General features: G+C 34.7%; 1 protein-coding gene, 1 long non-coding RNA gene and 1 pseudogene across 9 annotated transcripts in view; 1 reads left to right on the forward strand and 2 right to left on the reverse strand.

Annotated features, from left to right (window-relative positions):
• Window positions 1-172, reverse strand: part of LOC105375716 (uncharacterized) — a 436,284-nt gene extending 436,112 nt beyond the window's left edge. For all 6 annotated transcript variants that reach the window (XR_007061067.1, XR_928569.3, XR_007061068.1 and 3 more), the window contains exon 1: window positions 6-172. This is a non-coding gene — a long non-coding RNA (uncharacterized LOC105375716). The remainder of the gene's footprint in view (window positions 1-5) is intronic.
• On the forward strand, window positions 165-19,714 carry MED30 (mediator complex subunit 30). 3 transcript variants are annotated; one of them, NM_080651.4, is made up of 4 exons: window positions 165-505; window positions 8,103-8,261; window positions 10,175-10,279; window positions 19,335-19,714. In NM_080651.4, exons 1-4 carry the CDS (start codon window positions 329-331, stop codon window positions 19,428-19,430), a joined length of 537 nt encoding a protein of 178 aa, NP_542382.1. In that variant the 5' UTR covers window positions 165-328; the 3' UTR covers window positions 19,431-19,714. The 3 variants fall into 3 exon arrangements, with proteins under 3 accessions (NP_542382.1, NP_001350111.1, NP_001269915.1); NM_001363182.2 differs by lacking the exon at window positions 19,335-19,714 and adding an exon at window positions 15,553-17,813; NM_001282986.2 differs by lacking the exon at window positions 10,175-10,279.
• On the reverse strand, window positions 2,669-3,178 carry RPS10P16 (ribosomal protein S10 pseudogene 16; annotated as a pseudogene).
• Window positions 19,715-20,345: the final 631 nt, after the last annotated feature.

Below are 20,345 nucleotides of genomic sequence, written 5' to 3' on the forward strand. Positions count from 1 at the left end.
CTCACCCCAGGCTCCCCAAGAACATCGCCCCTCTGGCTGGAGCGCAATTGGTGATTGGCTACTTAACCCGTCCGTCCTTTCCCGCCCAGGGGTCCAATCCAATCCAGCCCGGCTCCGCTCGGAGACAGTTCGCCGAGTGGGCGGTGTCTATGACGTTTTCTGACGTGTTACGTCACAGTGGGCGGAAGTCGCGGCCGCTGTTTTGAAATCGGGCCGCGGGGGGTCTCTCAAGCTGGTTCCAACGCTGAGGCCCCACAGCCTCCCAATTCCGGGCAGACCCCTGACACCTGCTGTCTGGCCCCTTCCGGCCTGAAGCTGCAGCCGCGCCATGTCCACCCCTCCGTTGGCCGCGTCGGGGATGGCGCCCGGGCCCTTCGCCGGGCCCCAGGCTCAGCAGGCCGCCCGGGAAGTCAACACGGCGTCGCTGTGCCGCATCGGGCAGGAGACAGTGCAGGACATCGTGTACCGCACCATGGAGATCTTCCAGCTCCTGAGGAACATGCAGGTAGGAAGGCGGGCGCGCGAGGCCAGGGGGATGCAGCTGGGAGGGAAAGGGCCTCTGGTTTCCTCTTTACGTGGGGCCCGTGGATGTCATCGGGGCTGCCCTGGGCAAACCTTAGGTGTAGGGTCTCCCCCATTCACACTCAAGAGTGTCCCCAAAAGTCGGATTTGTAGAGGTGATGTTTTCCAGACCAGATTTCTGCAGAATTGAAGCCAATTTTTTTTAGATTCAATCGAGCTCTTTAGTTACTCTGTAAACTCTTGCACCTTTCAAGGCAGAGATGGGTCGCACTCCACTTCCCTCTTTAGGTTGCTTTAAATGTTTTTTCCAGCATTTCTTCTGGGGAGGTCCAAGGAGTTGAAGAATTTACATTTTTTTTAAAAAAACAGTCCTCCTTTTTTTGGCATAGTTAATATACAGTAAACTACACTCACCTAAAGTTTTGATATATATGTGTACTGTAGTCTGTATACTTGTGAAATTATCACCACAATCAAAATAGTGTACACATCATCCCAGAAAGTTTCTTCATACCCCTCTGACATCTTTGCTTCCCACCTTCCATCGCTAAGCAACCATTGATCTGCGTTCTGTAATCATAAATTAATTTGCATTTGCTAGGGTTTTATATAAACGGAGTCTACAGTATGTGGGCTTTTTTTTTTGTCTGAGATCCTTCACTAAGAATGCATCAATAATTTCCTTTTTATTGCTGAGTAATGTTCCATTGTATCCATGTATCACCATTTGCCTACCTTTTCTTCTGTTGATGGACATTTGGGTTGTTTCCACTTTTTGGCTGTTGTAAATAATGCTGCTATGAACTTTTGCTGACAAATTTTTGTGTGAACGTATGTGTCATTTCTCTTGGACAGATTCAGGAGTGGAATTGCTGGATCATGCAGTACATGTCTGTTTAATACTTTAAGAAACTTTTCCAAAGTGGCCTGAGCCATTTTACGTCCCGATTATTGCTAGTGGGAATGTAAACATTGCTGTTTGAGGGTTCTAGTTTCTCCTCATCCTCATCAACACCTGTTATGTCTTGATGCTTTCCAAATACTTCTCCCAGTCTATCCTGCCTTTTTATTCTCTTAATACTGTCTTTTGAAGAACAGACATTTTAAATTTTGATGGAATCCAGCTTACTGATTTGTTCTTTTATAGATTTTGGTTTTGCTGTCATACCTAAGAAATCTTTGCCTAACCCAAGGTGACAAAGGGTTTCTGTTTTCTTCTAGAAGTTTTGTACTTTCAAGCTTTATATTTAGGTCTACAACCTATATTTAGTTTTGTGAGTTTTTAAATATGTATACATAGTGGCAGATACGGATCCAAGTTCATTGTTTTGCATTTGGATATCCAGTTGTTCCAGCACCATTTTGCTGACCCATTTTTAATGCTTGCTTATATTACCCACTACATGTAGTAGATATTATTTTTGTTTTACAGATGAAGATTCTGTACTTCAGAGAGATAAAGTGACTTGCCCAAACCTAGTCAGTGGTAGGGTAAATTTGAAACCAAGTTTTCAAAAATCTTACAGCTCTTATTTCTGTGGGTGTCCAAAAAAGTGTTTTATTGCTTTTTTTTTTTTTAACTGGTCAAGACTTTTTTTTTCGTCCTGATTATAAGAGTAATTCAGTTTCGTGGAAATTTTTAAGACCATGTGAAATATAGTACAAAGGAGATCCAGGAGAAATTATGACATTCTTTGGCAATAATTTAAAAAAATGAATAGATTCATATCTAGAATGAATAAAGTACGGATTAAATAATGTCTCAGAATTTAGCATACTTTAAAAAAAATTTTGTCCTGTTATATGCAAAGCACCGAATAATACCTAACACTTACGAAGTACTTTCCTTGGTCAGGTACCCTGTTATAGGAGCAGTTTTAAGGAGTATTTTTATCCCTATTTTACAGTAAAGGAAACTGAGGCTTAATGAGAGAAAAAATAAATTACCCAACATCACACACGACTAATAGCTCTTCCTACTAACCTCTTTTTAATACTAACTTGCTGTCAATGTACATTATTAAAAGATATAATACAGGTTCATGTTCTACGCAGAACTAAACTTTTTCAAAAAAAGTATTTTATCAATAACTAGATTACATGTGGACCTGCATTCAAAGCCAACTTTTTTTTTTTTAAGTTTTTTTTTTTTGTCTGTAAGTTTATTCAATGCAAAATAATCCTCTCCAATTTTACTGAGGTGGCTGACCATGTCCACGACCAAATCCGCCTCTAAACTGGAATTCGGTTGTTGACCCAGCCCCAGTCTCGGCTTTCTTGTCGGCACCAGGGGGCACAGCACTCCGTCTGTAGGTATCTCTGTCGGCTTCCCCTCTTGTGAGTCTTGCAGGTCGCTCACCCTCCAGACCTTTAGGCTGAGGCCTGCCAGTCTCTGGACGGCTGCGGCGTAGGGTGGCAGGAACAATCTCCGGGGGCAGATGAAGGTAATCACAGAGATACTGGATACCCTCATTGGTAAGGTACCAGTAGAAATGTCTCCAGGCAAACTGTTCCTTCACGTAGCCTCAGGACTTGAGAAACTGCATGGCCTTCATGACATGAAGGTTGGACACATTCTTGTCTGCCAGCTCCGGGTGCTTAGGCATGTGGAATCCTCCTTGGCCACCATGATTCCCTCCTTAAAAAGGAGTTCATAGGCTAGGCGCGGTGGCTCACGCCTGTAATCCCAGCACTTTGAGAGGCCGAGGTGGGCGGATCACGAGGTCAGGAATTCGAGACCAGCCTAGCCAACATGGTGAAACCCCATCTCTACTAAAAATACAAAAATTAGCCGGGCGTGGTGGCGGGCGCCTGTAATCCCAGCTACTCGGGAGGCTGGGGCAGGAGAATCGCTTGAACCCGGGAGGCGGAGGTGGCAGTGAGCCGAGAGATCGCGCCACTGCACTCCAGGCTGGGCGACAGAGCGAGACTCTGTCTCAAGAAAAAGGAGTTCATAAATGGCAATACGTTTCTTCTTAAGCTTCAACATTTCGGCCACTGTAGGGTCTGGGACCCAAAGCCAGCTTTTGAGGGACTATGATAATTATATGTGTGCTTTTCATTTTGTGAAATCTGTGATCACTCATCCAGGACCCTTTGGGGCCTATCATAATTGGCTGAAAAGATAACAATGGGCTCCTTCATTTCCAAAAAAACTAGAAGAGGTGATAGAAATAGGATATTCTTAACTATATATAACCTAGTGATTTGTTAATACATTTTTAGTATTCACATTTTAAAGTAATCGTCTGTATTATTGATCTACGAGAGTAAAGTGCTGTGAATACAAACTGCTAAGAATTTTTCTAAGCATTTGTTTTAAAGAAGTGGTTCCTGGTATACACTAGATGTCCGTTAGCCACTTGAGAGTCTGATGAAAACTGTGAGCTCTCTTCTGAGAAAAATACACATACATTTTGAAAATTTCAGGGGTTAAAGGAAGATTTAGGGATACTCCCCAAGTATCCTTAAATCTCAGATTAAGAGTCCTTGTGGAAGATACCATTGCTTTTGTTCTGTTTATTATTCTTTGAATCTTTAATTTTTAAAATACATAGTACATTCAGAATTTAGGAATAAAAAAGGACAGTGCAGTGAACATTTTCCTTCCCATTCCTATCTCTTATACTATGTACCTAACTCCTCTCCACAGGCAGTGATTGTGACTGATTCTTACTATTTTTGTGTATCTTTCCAGATATTCTCTGCATATTAAGCAAATGTTTATGTATATTGTTTCATTTTCGCCTTTTTTGCACAGATAATAGTATATTATACACAACCATTTTGTACCTTGCTTTTTTCAGTTGATATATTTTGGAATTTATTCATACCCATACAGAAAATACTCCCTTATCCTTTTTATAGTGTATAGTTTACACTGCATGGAAATACTGTAATTTATTAAACCAGTTCTCTAGTGAGGGCATTTGGCTGTTTTTCATCTTTCCCTGTTAGGCTGCACCAAATAACCTCCTACACAAATTTGCACGTATACCTGTCGGATACGTTTTTAGAAATAGCTATGTGCTTTTGTAATTAGATACATTTTGATGAATTGTCCTCCACAGAGATTGAACTAATTTATGCTACGGCCTAAGACCAGCACAGTGAGTTATAGCTTTTTTGGATCTTTGATCACTTGATAGGTGAAAATTCTACTTTACATTTCTCCTAGTTTGACTGAGTTTGAACATCTCTTAAAATATTTTAATTATTTATATTTTTTTCCTGCTAAATGCTTGTTCACTTATTATTCACCCATTTGTCTGTCTTTTTTTTTTTTTCATCTTTTTTACCTACCTTAATTGTAGGATTTAGCTATTTACATACTAGAGAAACCTGCTCTGTGTGATACAACTTAAAGTTATTTTTTTCCCTGTCTTTTACCTTTTGGCTCTGCTAATGGTAGTTTTGCCATGCATTTTTTTTAAGTAGTTGAATGTATTAGTCTTTTAGGACTTCTAGGCCTTATGCCTAGTTAGAAAGGTCTTCCCCACTCAAATTAGGAAGAATTCTATAATTTTTAAAATTTCAGCCTTTACATTTAAAACTGTGATCCTTATGGAATTTATCCTATAAAATGTGAGGTCTGGGCCTAGCCTTAACTTTTTCAAAAGGTTCACTGAATAATTCACTTGCTTCTTCCAGTGATTTCAGGTAGCTTTTATATAAGTGAATTTGTTTCTGGATGTTCTATTCTATTCCACGTAGCTGCCTATCTTTTATGTATTAATGCAAAACATTCTTTTAATTTGTCAGGATCTAAATGTGTTACACTTATTTTTCAGAATTTCCCTGGCTATTCTTGCTTATTTTTCCACATGTATTTTAGAATCAGCTTATTCTAAGAAAAAGCCTGTTAGCATTTTTATTAGGTCCGTTCGGCCTAGAAAGACTTGACATCATTATGATGTTGACTCTTACTAACCAAGAACATGCAGTATTCTTTTTCTGTTTTCCTATAAGGTATCTTAAGTTTTCATTTTTATCTTGAGATTTTAAAAGTTTTTTTCTAGGTATTTTATCTTTTCTGTTGCCATTGTAAATGGGGTCTTCTTTTCCCATGTTTTTGTTTGTGTTATAGATGAAAACAGAGCTATTGCTTTCTCTTTGGACCTACTTCCTTATTGAATTCTTTTATTTTTAGTAGCACTTTATCATATTATTTGTAAATAGATTATGATGCTTTCTTTTTAATGTTTCAACATTTTTTTCTCTTTCTTCTCTAATTGCATTGGCTAGTGCTTCCAGAACAGTGTTCACTTACAGAATTAGGGTCTTAGTAGACATCCTTTTCTGTTTCTGATCTTAGTTGGAATGCTTCTAATGATTCCACATTAATCATAGTGCTGACTCTTTAACTGAAATAAATGTATGTTGTCACATATTGAGGATTTTTTATTGAGTTTTATATTGATTTTTTAAATGGGTGTTGAATTTAGTTGAATGCCTTCTTGGTGTCTATGGATACGATCATGTATTTATGGGTTTTCATCCATACTCATGAGTGAGATGGTTATTGATGAGCTTTTCAGCTGAACAGCTACACCGTGGTATATACCAAGGGATCTTAGGCATTTTTACCGTGTATACTCTGTACTATGGAAACCTTGTCTCTCTGATGTTTACTGCTCTATCCTAGCTTCTAGAACAGTGCTGACACATGAAACGTGTGTGGTATTTTTTCTTTTTAATGATTTAGTAAGTTAAGTTAGTAAGTTTGGATCTTAGATTTAACATCTAATATCTTTCTAAGTCAGCAAATTTGGGGAGTGTGATTCTTGGCATTTCAAAAGGATTTTTGTTTTCTTTATGACAGTATTTATCAAGAGTTCTTTTACATAATACATCTTAATAAATTTTAAGTATAGATTTATGGGTAAAATAACTCGCTTAAGTAAAATAATTCACACTGTACTTTAAAGCCTTCTGTATGTGTGCACTATGCTCAATATGGTGATATGAACCTAAGTTCCAGTCTTTACTAAGTAGAAAATATGGGCAAAGTATTAAACCCCATAATGCCATAATAAAGGTACAGAGTGCTGTTCTAGGCAAGACATAATCATCATGCTCCTTTCTGTCACCTAAACAAGAAAGCAAGGATCCACTTAAACTTTTCTCTGAATTTCTAGTTAGTGTCTGTGGAATTTCATAAACTGAGAGTTCAGGAGGAGAAATCTTACATTGTACTGAGAAATGAACCCTTAATGCCTTTCTCCTTTAAAATGTTTTGACTAGTTCAGCCTTTGATATTTTATCACATTGCTTTGAGGCATTGTAGACTGTTTTAATGCTTGAGAATTTCTGAAACTCCTAATAATATCACACTTCAAATAATTTCAGGAGATCCATCTCCTTAACTTGTAAACCATAACAGTACTGGAAATTTAGAAGTATGAGAAAAGAAGAAAATAAATTATTCAAGCCTATTTATCTTACACATCTTTTATCAACTATGTATAGGGCTTTCCAGTCTTTTTTCATGTTTATGGTTTTAATCATTATATGTCCTGTTTACTTTTCACTCCAAACATTGTATCATGCTTTTCTTTTTTTCTTTCTTTTTTTTTTTTTTTTTTGGCATTCCTACCTCATGTGTTTAAAAAAGAAAAAAATGCAAACTGAGGCTTGGAAAGACTGGACTGATCACCTAGCTATTATACATGTGAATTCCTACAAATGAAAATGCCCGAATACTAGAAAACGTGGTACTGTGTAAATAGTATTGATTCAAGTATTAGGGTGATGACACAGATCAGATTGTGGGAATAAAATATTGTACAGCTGTACAGAGAAAGATTTTGTTCATGAGTTTCAGCAATGCAAAGTACATATTTAGTTATAAATTCTAAATAAATAGTCGATTTTTGTTTACCTGTCATTTTATTATTTCAATATATACTTTTCTTCTTTTGATAAAATTCCTGAATTAAAAATATATCCATATCTAAGGCAGAGTTATGATCATAGCAGTTACTTGTAATAATTTATTAATGGTGTTCAAGTATAGATGGCACCCATATCTCCTGCTATTGATTTTTTTAAGTAAAACTTTAAATGACAGGTTTATATTTTAATGTATGCCTTAAGCATCTTAATTATCTTATCAGAGTTAAGGCATTTTGAGAATATTTTTGCAATACCAGCCATATATTCTTCATTTTCTTCCACTAAAATATCATCAGATTCACTTTTTTTTTTAAACTGTACTTTGTTTTTAACTTCTTGGTTGAGGTCAGCAGCATGCTGCATTTATATAATAGTAATATTAAAATTGTAAATTTTTTTTTAAAGTTACACTTCAAAAATTAAAGGGGAAAAAGTATTTCAAGTCAGAGGGTTTATCACAAAGTTTTTCTAGGTCTGTTTTATAGCAGTGAAACAGGTATGCCAAGTTGTTAATAAATGGGCATGCATTGCTCTTAAATTCTTAAAATTAAACTTGATCAGTTGTGAGGGACAGCTTATGTCTATGCATTGCCTAAAAATTGTTTCTGTTTGTTGGCTTTACTTATAGAAAATCTTGATTTTTTTTTCATTACTTGATATTTTTATTCTTTGTTTTTCCTGATAAGCTGCCAAATGGTGTCACTTACCACACTGGAACATATCAAGACCGGTTAACAAAGCTACAGGATAATCTTCGCCAACTTTCAGTTCTCTTCAGGAAGCTGAGATTGGTATATGACAAATGCAATGAAAACTGTGGTGGGATGGATCCCATTCCAGTCGAGGTAATTTTTTGTGATAGAGGGAGGATGAATATAAGGTGTGAACTAGTGTCAAGACAGTTGTTAATCTTTTTCCTCTCTCTCCTGTTTTAGCAATATTTCCAGGTTTCGAATTTTATTGGTTTTACTTTTGACCAGAGAAGATGAAAATGTGATATATATGCATAAAATACTACTATATTTTTACATTAACAATTTCTTGTAGACTTTGACAGGCTTATAGTAATTTTTGTTGTTGTTAGGAAGAAATGTTTTCCTATGGCAATTTTTATTGCTGTCAGTGTCTCCTTTTAATTAAGTCAGGGATATTTTTAGTAGGAATTTTAATAGTATCATATACTTTTAAGGTGGTTTTCATGAAGTACTTTACAGATAAAATATTATTTTTATTATTATTAATTTGGATTTTATATTTAGCCCAGTGGAATCACTATATTTTAAAAATATATTCTCTAAATTTAATCTTGGGTCATACCTATTTAGTTAATTAGGCATATATTTCTATAAGTCACCCTTTCCTGTTGACAAATTATATCTCTGCCACCAAAGGAAGCTGGTAAGAGATGACCAGAGAAAAATTAAACTGCAAAAATGCCTAAAAAGAAGGGGTCAGAGATGTGGGAGAAAGATCAGAAATGTGGCCTACATCGTCAGATGCTACAGAGAAGTCAGGGAAAATAAGGAATGAAAACTGTCCAGTAGATTTTGCTAGATGAAAATTGTTGGTATATTTGAGTAGAGCTTCAGTGAAATGATAGCAGCGTGAAGTCTGATCCTAGTCGGGTGAAGATTAAACAGGAAATAAGAAGCTGGAGCCGGCAAGTGGATATCAGTCTTTCAAGAAGCTTTGAAAAAAATAAGAGAGGAAAGCAGTAGATGGAAGGAGAGATGGAATCGAAGGTTTGCAGGAGGAAGAGGAGCTTCCCTCCAAATAGAAGAGATAGGAACATGTTTGAATAATAAAGGAAGAAAGCTGTAGGGAGAGGTTGAGAGAAAGGTGTATAAATAATGAAGACAGGAGGGCAGAGTAATCAGGGCACAGGAATGGAGACTAATCGTCTTCAGGAGGAAGGACAGCTCTGCATTGAGACAGATGAAAGAAAGAAAAGGAGAATGTAGACATGGGTGAGTTTATATATATCCCAAGAATTTGAAGAAGTTTTATCAGGTGAATCCTAGTTTTACCAGTCATTTACCTTTAGCCTATTCTTGCATTGGTAATACACGATGGTAAAGGCTAGGTGATTCCTGAAGTCTGCCACACTTATGCGGTAAATTCCATCACTAACCATGCATACTTAATTACGATTCTGCTAGAAGTTTCATTGCTATATAAATTTGTTTCTCCTACAAAGAAAAAGTTCTCACAACTGCGAAAACTTAAGACATCTAGAAGTTTGCATAGACTCTGAAGTTTTAGATTGCAAGTTAATGACAATTATATAATACAGATCCGTGAAGTTCTTTTCTTTTTATTGCAGATGAAGGAAAGCCTGTTTTATCTATCTCAATAGACTACAAATCTCTTAGGGGCAGGAATCACATCTTGTTTGGCATTACTTTTATAGTGTTTCATAATTAAATATTTGCTGATTGAGTAGGGTTTTTTTAAATTTTTATTTTATTTTATTTTATTTTTTACTTCTCCCATCTTCCTGCTGGAAGTATTGTTTAGTTGTACATGACAACCAATGTTATAAAGGCTGTTTTGCAAAAGAAACCTGAAAGGGTAATGCATAGAATGCATTGAAATGGTCAACTATTAAAGCTCTTATTTCAGGCCATCACCTGAATTGAAATTATTTTTATACAAATAAAAGTATAAAAATTGACCTTAATCTGATATATTCTCTATACAAGTGATTAGAAAACTTGAATTATATTTTTGCCTTTTAATTTTTGTTAATCATTCCCAGCAACTTATTCCATATGTGGAAGAAGATGGCTCAAAGAATGATGATCGGGCTGGCCCACCTCGTTTTGCTAGTGAAGAGAGGCGAGAAATTGCTGAAGTAAATAAAGTGAGTTGTTAGTTTTTACATTTTATGTTTTAGAGTTATTGATAAAAATTACTAGGGAGTCTGATGTAACTCCAAAACATAATTTGAATTATCAAATTACATGAAGTTGTTTCTGCGGCAAACTTCACCTATTTAGAATACAGCCAAGAAATGAAAGGTAAGCAGAAATGCTGTCTGAATAGTCAGAAGAGAAATTGCAAAATTCATTCGATAAAGCTCTTAGAAGAGCTCCTTAGACACTTAGTCACAATCCATTTACTTTTTTCTTTTCTGGGCAGAATTCTACCTTTCTAGCTTATAGCATATTTGGAGCAGCAAATGATAAAAATTTACAAATATGAAATGTGAATGTCTCAACACCTGAATAAAAAATTTAGAGAACTATCCCAGCATTATTATCTACTCCAACCCCACAAAAAGCTTGTAACTGGAATGTATTTATCGCTGAATACTTTCAAAAGTTCAGAAGATAATGTTCAAATAGTTCTCGTGAAACAGAGAGAAATAGGGAAAGGTGTCAGTTCATTCTGGGGATGGAAATGTGGCCCCAGCTTAGCAAAACCTACCAGAGATAGCACAGTGAATAAAACTTTCAGCATCACTCTTTCACTGACAAATATAGATTGCCCCTTCCTGAAATTCTTAATTCTAATTAATAGAACTCATCAGTGTATTAATAATCCACCACTGCCAAAGAGAGTCTTCTGAGGTATATGAAGATTTTATAGTTCAGTTTGTATGTATAATACATGATGTCAGTAAACTACCTTGAAAAAAGATTTTCTCACATGTCTAAAAGACATCTGATAAAATTCAATACTGTTGCTGATTCAAAGGACACTTAAAACTATTAGCAAGACAGTGTGTTTTTTTTTTAAATCTTTTTCTTTTAGATAAATACCCAACATTTTTCATAAGGTGAAATATAGAAATATCCTTATTAAAAACAAGCATGAAATAAGATACTTTATAACACTATGTTTAATATTATTTTAGAAGTTATAGCCAGTACAAAAAGACAGTGGACAAATGACAGTTGGGAAACAGGAGTTACTATGTATGAGCTTGTTAGAATGGTCAAAGAAACTCAACTGATGAACAACTAGTCTATAAGAGTTCCGTAAAAGGGTCTAAGACAAGACTGATACCATGCTCTTACAATGCTGTAAACCTATTAGATTATAAGATTCTATTGACTCTTGTAACAATTAATATTAAGTAGATAGGAATTATGTCAATAATGTGTATGAATAAACTTATTAAGATACATAAAGGAAGCTTTGAATGATTAAAAGAACATATAAAGTTCTTGGATGAGCAATACATATTATAAAAATACCAGTCTTGATTTAATACTCACAGTTTTAATACAGTAACAATCCAAATCCTAATAAGAAAGCATGCAAAAACAATAGGATTTTAGTGCAATACCAATCAATAAACAAATCCAAATAAAACCCAAATGGAATTTTTTTCTTGAAAGTATACAAAAATATCAAAGAAAATGTTGATAAATACGACTAATAAAGCAGAATTCTTAGCTTCAAAAATTAAACTGTAATATGAAGCATATTATAAAAATGGTAATTAGGTGTATAATACTGGCACAAGAATAGGCAGATTAGTAAAATAATCTAGCCAGAAAAACAGCCTTCTTATTGTACATGAGAATTTAATATGACAGAAGAGGGCTTGTGTGGAAAATTAGTCTTTAGAAATAGAAACTTTGGGGGCGAAATTAAGCTAGCTTTTACATTACACCATAAATCAAAATGAATTTCAGAGTTGAAAATAAGACCTGCAAAACAAAATATTGGATAATTTTTTAAGTATTTTAAAACTCGGAAGAAAGGAAAAAGATGGATAGATTTTATAAAATAAAATTTTGTAACTTTTTTAAAAGGTGAAACACACATTTAGAAAACTATTTCCAAAAAATCTGATTGTAATACATGACAATCATAATAAAAAACTCACAGTAAAAAATTGGTAGAGGGTGAGGAGGAGAATGGGAACTTTTAGTTTAGATCTTGAAAAATAACTGGTGTTTGGTAGTCTAGATGTATGAGACATTCACTTATTAAGACGTGTTATATGTTTCTGTTGATAAATATGTATTACCTCAATAAATGTGTTCTGCTTATGTTTCTCTAATGATTTTTTTATAAAATATAATGAAATATGTATATAAATAAAACACCATTATAATAATAACTTTGGTTTCAGAGTACCACATGTGTAACTAATGTAAACATAGTTTGTTCTGTACCATAGAGGATTTTATAATATTTTGTAAAAAATAAAGCTGTGTAAATTCAGAAAGATACTTTTTCTATATTTACATTTCTCTTCAATTTTCATTAAGTTTCTCTTTTTTCCCAATTTGATAACTTAGAAATAACATGTCTTTGACTTTTAAAAGTTCTCTTTTATAATCAAAATATGGTAATTCTTTGGCAGCATGTAACCAAAAAAAAAAATCTTACTATCTACTGACATAGAGTTTTGTGGATTTTAAGTAAAGGATATAATTGAAACAAGGATATGATGTATAAAAGGACTTCTTTCTCCCCATGAGGATTTAGCTCCCTACAGCCTCTCTCTCCTGGACCCACCTACATAATTGTTTCCCTCAAACCTTTCAGTGCACTTATATCATATTTGGGGTTCAGTAAATAATCTGTATCATATAATTATGGCTTCATAAGTATTGTTTATTGCTAAGCCGCATAGTATACTAGGGTCATATTTCCTTGATTGAATAATTTTTTGTTTTTCTGAAGTTAATTCTTACCTCTTTAATTTTCTAAAATTTTAGTTAGTTTTTTATGCATCTATGACAACATCTCAGTACTATTTTCCAATTTTCCACAGTCAGAATCATCAGACAGTTTCATGGTTCTCATCCCACCCTCCCAAGTTTTCTATGGTCTTATAGGTCTGGATGGAATGCTGGCTAGGCCTGCTTTTCAGCTCTGGGGCTTTCCTTCACCTCTTCTGTTGGTTTCACTATTTCTTCAGCTCATGTCTTCCCTTTTCTTGGTTTTCTTCCTTGTTGGTGATGTGCATACATCAGTGACTTCTTTAGAAGGAATGCAGACACTTAAATTTTGAGTCCTTACATATTTGTCCAGTTGATAGTTTGGCTGGCTATAAAATTCTATGTTGTAAGTTATGTTTCCTCAGAAATTTGAAGGCATTCCATAATCTAGTATAGGGTTTGGCAGACTTTTTGTTTAAACTACTAGATAGTCAATCTTTTAACCATTCCTCCAGTTTTCATTCCCAGGGCTCACCTGGTGCCTCTGAGATGGTCTCTGTCTGTGGTTCTCCATGGTGGATCAGGCGTATTCTCGGTGGCATCCCTCTTGCATGCCCAGGCCTTCTCTGAGTCACTGACCACTCCCTCTTTACTTTTCATCTGAAAATTTACCTTGCATCTGCTGTTGTGTCCTTTCTGATCACTTTTCTCTGCATCAGTTTATAGCTTTTTTTATTCCTCTCCTGCCACACACTCAATAGATACACAATGTTTCTGAAAGTTTGTGTATATTTACGGAATGAAAGTATTTTAAATTTTTTTCCCCATTTTTACTTCTGACATTGAGATCTCTTCCTTTGATTAAATGACTTGGATCTGTTCTAAGTGCTTTTAACTTCAGGATAAAACATGTTTTAGTTAACGTGATATCAAACTGATGGGTTATTACAAAGAGAAAAGAATCAGTTTAGGTGTTTTAAATGAACCAGGTTTAAAGCTAAACTCTATTTCTGTGGGAATTGCTTTTTAAAAGACAATTTAGAGGTAAAGTACCTTCTTGAGTATCATGGGGAAGAACTCATTTGATGACCTCATAACTCTCTTTGTATGAATTCTTCTACCTATATTTTGAGAAAGCACTGAAAGATTAGGTGGTGGGCACAGGGAAAAGATGGGAGAGGGCTAACATTTGGTTAACTTAAATTTAAATCCCAAATAAGGAAGAAGAAAATAAAATTAACTGCTAAAAGGCAAACAAATTGTTTTTTTTTTTTTTTTTTACCAAAAGGGCTTTTTAATTCATTCCTTAAAAAAATATATAAATGTGAATTAAATGTAGCATATTCTGTTACTAGAATAATCTTACCTACAGTTAACCCTAGCTACTGACATAGAGTTTTGTGGATTTTAAGTAAAGGATATAATTGATACAAGGATATGATGTATAAAAGGACTTTCTCCATATGAGGATTTAGCTCTCTACAGCCTCTCTCTCCTGGACCCACCTACATAATTGTTTCCCTCAAACAATTTTATTTTATTATTTTCCTCAACTTCTTTAAGCTCTGTGTCTCCATTCTAGAATATAAGATTAAAATATATGATTAAAAGTTTTAATTTTTAAAATACTGAGCTCGTGATCCATTGATACTTTTTTTTTTTTTTTTTTTTTGAGAGACAAAATCTCTCTCTGTCACCCAGGCTGGAGTGCAGTGGCACGATCTCGGCTCACTGGGTTCAAGCAATTCTCCTGCCTCAGTCTCCTGAGTAGCTGGGGTTACAGGCGTGCACCACCATGCCCGGCTAATTTTTTTGTGTTTTTAGTAGAGATGGGGTTTCACCATGTTGGTCAGGCTGGTCTCAAACTCCTGACGTCGTGATCACCTGCCTCGGCCTCCCAAAGTGCTGGGATTACGGGCGTGAGCTACTGCACCCAGCCGATACATCTTTTTTTTTTTCCGTAATGGCACACACACCCGAGGGTGTTTCTCGTAGTGAAAACTGGCTATAGATGATAATGTACTGATTTGATTATTTAATCACATAGATGCTATTAAAAATAAAGTTCACTGATTTGATTTGACCACTATTTATAAATAGCTACATTCATAAACTTAAGTTTTTGTCTCTGTCAATTATGTTAATCCACATTCTTATGTAAATATAGGTTTGCTTTTTTTTTAGTTCATGCATTTACTAGGTGATAGAGTTTTAAAGTTCACGGAATCTTAGCTGGTAACACTAAAACATTGAAAATACATCTTACCTATTATGGTATGGAGTATAAAATGCATAGTTTTTAATAATGGCCATTATTAAATGTCTTTTTTTTTTATACTGAGGAGTTATTTAAACAAAAATAAGTTTTGAAATGATTGGCAATAATTTTTGTTTGCTTGCTTATTTTTTTTCCATTCTTGTAGGTTTTGGGAGAAGCTTTTTGATTTGGCTTTTGTTATTTTTTCTTCAAACATGAAAATATTTAAATATTTGTGTGCCTGCTCTCTGACAGGCATTGTCCTCAGTACCAGAATTTCTTCCATGAAGCAGCTGGATGTGTTGTCGGCTATATACTCATTTCACATGAGTGGACAAGTTTCTTCTTGGAGAACATAAGACTCCAGTGGAAACAAAGCAGCACCTGTTTCATGTACCCATTTCATGTTTTGATGAATATTTACAGAAACAAAAGTATTGTGCCATATTTTTAATACATTGGCATTTGGTTGTATTAAATAAGTTGCTTTATAGATCTGTGTAATTTATAATAAAATTATATTATTTGCATTCAATTAAAAAGTCAGAATTTTATTACAATGAATATTTTCTTTCTTTCTAAATAAGCTACCTAAAATAAGTAGATTTATATACCCCTCAGCTGACCCTCAGTCATTTTCAAGATATTATCATATCATTGTGTACTTGAAATTGTGCAGAAGAACATATTGATGGTGTGTTTACTATTTAGTCGTTATGGTCTGTCTGGTTTCTAACAATACAAAAACCACCAATAACTATCCTGGTGCTATGAAACTTTGAGGCACATGATTTGTAGTCAGTATTTGATGTAAATCATCATAAGACAATATGGCTGGTTTTAATAGTCAAATTCGTGGTTTATTTAAATACTTTTCATTTTCTCTTAATATATCCTGGAATCCTTAAGCCAAATACCCATTTAAAGGATGGACACTTGTTTGAGACCATATGCTTTAGGTGCAGGGGTGTCCAATCTTTTGGCTTCCCTGGGCCACATTGTAAGAAGAAGAATTGTTTTGGGCCACATATAAACTATACTAACATTAATGATAGCTGAGAAGCCAAAATATAAAAAAATCACGAAAAACATCTCATAATGTTTTAAGAAAGCTTACAAATTTGTATTGGGCTGCACTCACAGCCGACTGGGGCCACATGTGGCCTGTGGGCCACAGTTGGACAAGCTTGCTTTGGGGACATCAGAATGAGTTTTATTTTGCTTAACGCTCTTTTCTTGATGGTAAAATGAAATTGAAAAAGATAGTAGGTAGTATTTACAAGGTTGGCATTGAGTCCATGCATTTAGAAAGTAAACCATTTTTTGTCAAGTGTCACAGCTTTTGTGTGAATATTACATTACATGGTATCAGTTAGCATCAACTTTTTTTAAGTATTTAGTCTACTTACACATTCGCCTGTTAATGTACAAAATTGGGCACAGCTGATGGATTTTGAAAATAGCAGCTGTCAACGTCTGTTAAAATCAATCAGTGGCAAGACTGTGTATATTAAATCCTATATCGTGTCATGAAAATTTATTTACACTTTAGCCTCTAATAAGCATAAGTGTCAGCTTTGCTGTTGATCATTTTCATGACATGTTTTGACTCTGGATATTTTATTTGTATGCTAATTTTTTTAATTTAAAACTTTGTGGCATCTTTGAGAAACGCTATCCCAAGAGCCTTATAATATATTAATTATTTAAAAATTTTCTATTCCCCAGTGTTGAATATTATCTTGAAAATACCCTACAAATTTTAGTTGTTACTTTTTTAAAAAACAATTACGAGGCTTAAATAAAAAAGAGTACCAGAATGTATATTTCCAAATGAGGATTCTTGAGAGTAGTCTTATTGGTAGGTTATGCATTTATTTCAGTGGTGAGACCATTGTGATAGCCAGCTGCAAGCCCTGAGTTGATACTGATTATAAAGTCTGTTTTTAACCACCCAGATGACCAATTGTCATCTTATGTATGGGTATGCAGAAAGTACAACTGGCAGAGACCTTAGATTTTATAATCCAATTACATAAATGAGAAAACCAAGAAGAAGGAATTTATCTAAGATCAAATACCAAGTTAGAGGCAAAGTTGGAACTGGGACCGAGATTGCCAGCCTCCCAATATAGCACTTTTATATTCCTCTGTTTTGCTGCTACTCTTGATTGCTGGCAGAAGTGTTGGTTTCTTGGTCTCTGTGATGAAAAAGACTTTATAGGCTTGGTTATTCTTCATCTTTCCCAGCAATTTGAATCAATTTTGTTAGATATATACAACCACTTAAATAACAGACTATCACTTACTTATGATAACAGAATATAGAAGATGGGTCATCTGAAAACTTGTGCAAGGGAGACTAACTAAAAATACCAGCAGTTTTTGTTTCCCGAAGACTGTGTTAAAGTGAGCTTTAGAGTCGAGCCCTGTGTACTGTATAGTCCTGTTTTTCTCTGACTGCATTGTGCTAGTTCTCTTTTCAAATGTGAATTAAATTCAGTTATGAAAGATTATTAAAGTCTCTGTAAATTGATTTTCTATTTTCTAATAAGAGTTTCTTGGTCTTTCCTTTTAGCCACCTATTTCTTGTTACTTCCCTAACTCTGAATAGAAGCAATACAAGCAACTTCATTTTAGTTTGTTTTTTAATGAAATCAAAAGTAAGATTGTTAGGCCTCTTTTTAATAAGCATACACCAATTTATCTGGAGGTAGTTTAATATAGTGTCTTAAAATTAATTAAGTATATTATCTCCAAATGTAATGTTTCCAAGGGGTTATTGAATAATAATAATTATTGTTATTATAACTAGTAAACACTCTGACCAGAAGTTCTCTATTTCTATCTTGTTTTATCTAAGCAGACATTTACCACATAGGATTTGAAGAAAGAATGGTTAAAAAGAAGTCTACAAATCTTAGTCAAGTAGAATCCAAGTGTAGAGATACAGAGACACATGCCGTGCACATTTCAGGCATTCAGCAAATCTTAGTAGAGAAGATTGCATTGGGTACTCTGCCATTTGTCTTCAGTTTTTAGAATTAGAAGGAGATTGCAATTCATGCTATAGGCAAACAGTGATTTCTGCCGCACTTTTGAAAGACTGATTGCATGAGGCATTGTACTTTTATTATATTTTCTATATCGACAGTTTACATTTTGTGCCTAACAGTAACATTTGTTGAATGTTTACTTATGTGTCAGGCACAATTCTAATACTTGACATGAATCAGACCATTTAATCTTCATAACAGCTCTTATGAGGTAGTTTCAATTATTATTTCCATTTTTCTGATGTGGAAACTAAAGTACCGGGAGGTTAAATAATTAGGTCAGTGTTGTAAGTTTCATAGTGAAGGATCTGGCCGGGTGTGATGGCTCATGCCTGTAATCCCAGCACTTTGGGAGGCCAAGACGGGCAGATCACTTGAAGTCAGGAGACCAGCCTGGCCAACATGGCAAAACCTCCTCTCTACTAAAAATACAAAAAAACTAGATGGGTGTGGTGGCTGGAGCCTGTAATTCTAGCTACTCAGGAGGCTGAAGCAGGAGAATCGCTGAAACCCAGGAGGCTGAGATTGCAGTGAGCCAAGATTGCGCCACTGCACTGCAGCCTGGGAAAAAAAAAAAAAATTCGTAGTGAAGGATCTGAATGACTTCCAGAGATCTGGCTCTAGAGTATGGGCTCTTGACCGTTAGGTTATGCTGCCCCTTAGAAAACTTATATGCTTATGTTTTATAACAAATAAATGTTTAGCTGATTTATTGATTTGTTTATGGTGGAAGTGGAAGAGTAAGCAGGGCCTGGGGCCGGGGCTGGGGCCATAGACCTCTGCAGGCTGGATTTTTAGAATTCAGGATCCCTGTCAGCAAATATTTAAGGCCAGAAGAGGGTTGAGACCATCTGCCTTATAGGGTTATTTAGCTTAATTTCTGTCTGTATCATTATAATCCTAACTTATGATATTTTAATCTTCTAACTTCATGGTCTATATTTCCTGAAACATTTTTGATAAATTCTTTTGTTTCTACAGAAACTCAAACAGAAGAATCAACAGCTGAAACAAATTATGGATCAATTACGAAATCTCATCTGGGATATAAATGCCATGTTGGCAATGAGGAACTAAGCTGATATTTAAATTTCCTGCTTTACACATGTTATACCATTGTTTTTTCCCTCAAGTATTTTTTCCCTGTGAAGAAGATTATTTATCTGCTTTTATTTTAGTCACTAAAACTAAAGTTTTTATTTTTACATTGTGATTTTTACATTAAAATATTAACTTTTTTTAATGCTATTTTATGAAAGATTATTGTAATAAACTTTGATGGGGTTTGTATTTTGGTTAATCTTCATGAATTGAATAATTGTTTTTTTAAAGCAAAATAAAGTTTTTTAAATAAATGTTAATATTTGATTAATGGATTTACTCATTCCAATTACCCTTTTAGAAGAAAAATATTTAAATATTTCTGCAGATAAAAGTATCAAATACAGTCAATCTGTATACAAATCAAAATTAAAGATATATTACCATATCAGCTCAAGTTTTTAAATTCAATGTTATTGCCAAGCCAATTAAAATGTATATTTCTATGAATAGATGAAAATTAACATATTCCTCCAGTGTTTGGTCTTAAATGATCTGTCTCTAAAAGGAGAGAAACTAATGATCTAAGGACAGCACAAATTGAAATCACAACTGTGTGCTTATCTGCTATGTGCTTTAAGCTAAGAAGCAATCACTTACCTAATTTTTTAGGTATACCCTAAAGTAATCATAAGTGTGTTTTGGAAACAGTACATTTGCAGGGATTTTAAATGAGATAGTTCTATATAACAGGTGATTTTTTTTTTTTTTTTTTTTTTTTTTGCCTATAGTCAATCCTGTTTAGGTCTCCCTGTGGGAGCTGATCTCTCAACTTACAAATAATATATATTCTCAAATAAGAGTTGGAGTCTTCTCAGAAAGGACTTTTCCAGCTTGATTCAGAAGGCTCTTCTATCTGGTCTCAGTTCTGACTCTATGAAAAATATTGTT

This window comes from Homo sapiens, chromosome 8 (genome assembly GCF_000001405.40).
Source record: "Homo sapiens chromosome 8, GRCh38.p14 Primary Assembly".
In the NCBI taxonomy this organism is placed as follows: Eukaryota; Metazoa; Chordata; class Mammalia; order Primates; family Hominidae; genus Homo; species Homo sapiens.

What these genes read in the sequence shown, in the direction of transcription:
- MED30 (NM_080651.4), top strand. Translation starts at nt 329, where the DNA reads ATGTCCACCCCTCCGTTGGCCGCGTCGGGGATGGCGCCCGGGCCCTTC. An exon ending in TGGATCCCATTCCAGTCGAG is followed by an intron (nt 8,262 to 10,174) that starts GTAATTTTTTGT and finishes AATCATTCCCAG; the next exon opens with CAACTTATTCCATATGTGGA. An exon ending in AAATTGCTGAAGTAAATAAA is followed by an intron (nt 10,280 to 19,334) that starts GTGAGTTGTTAG and finishes TTGTTTCTACAG; the next exon opens with AAACTCAAACAGAAGAATCA.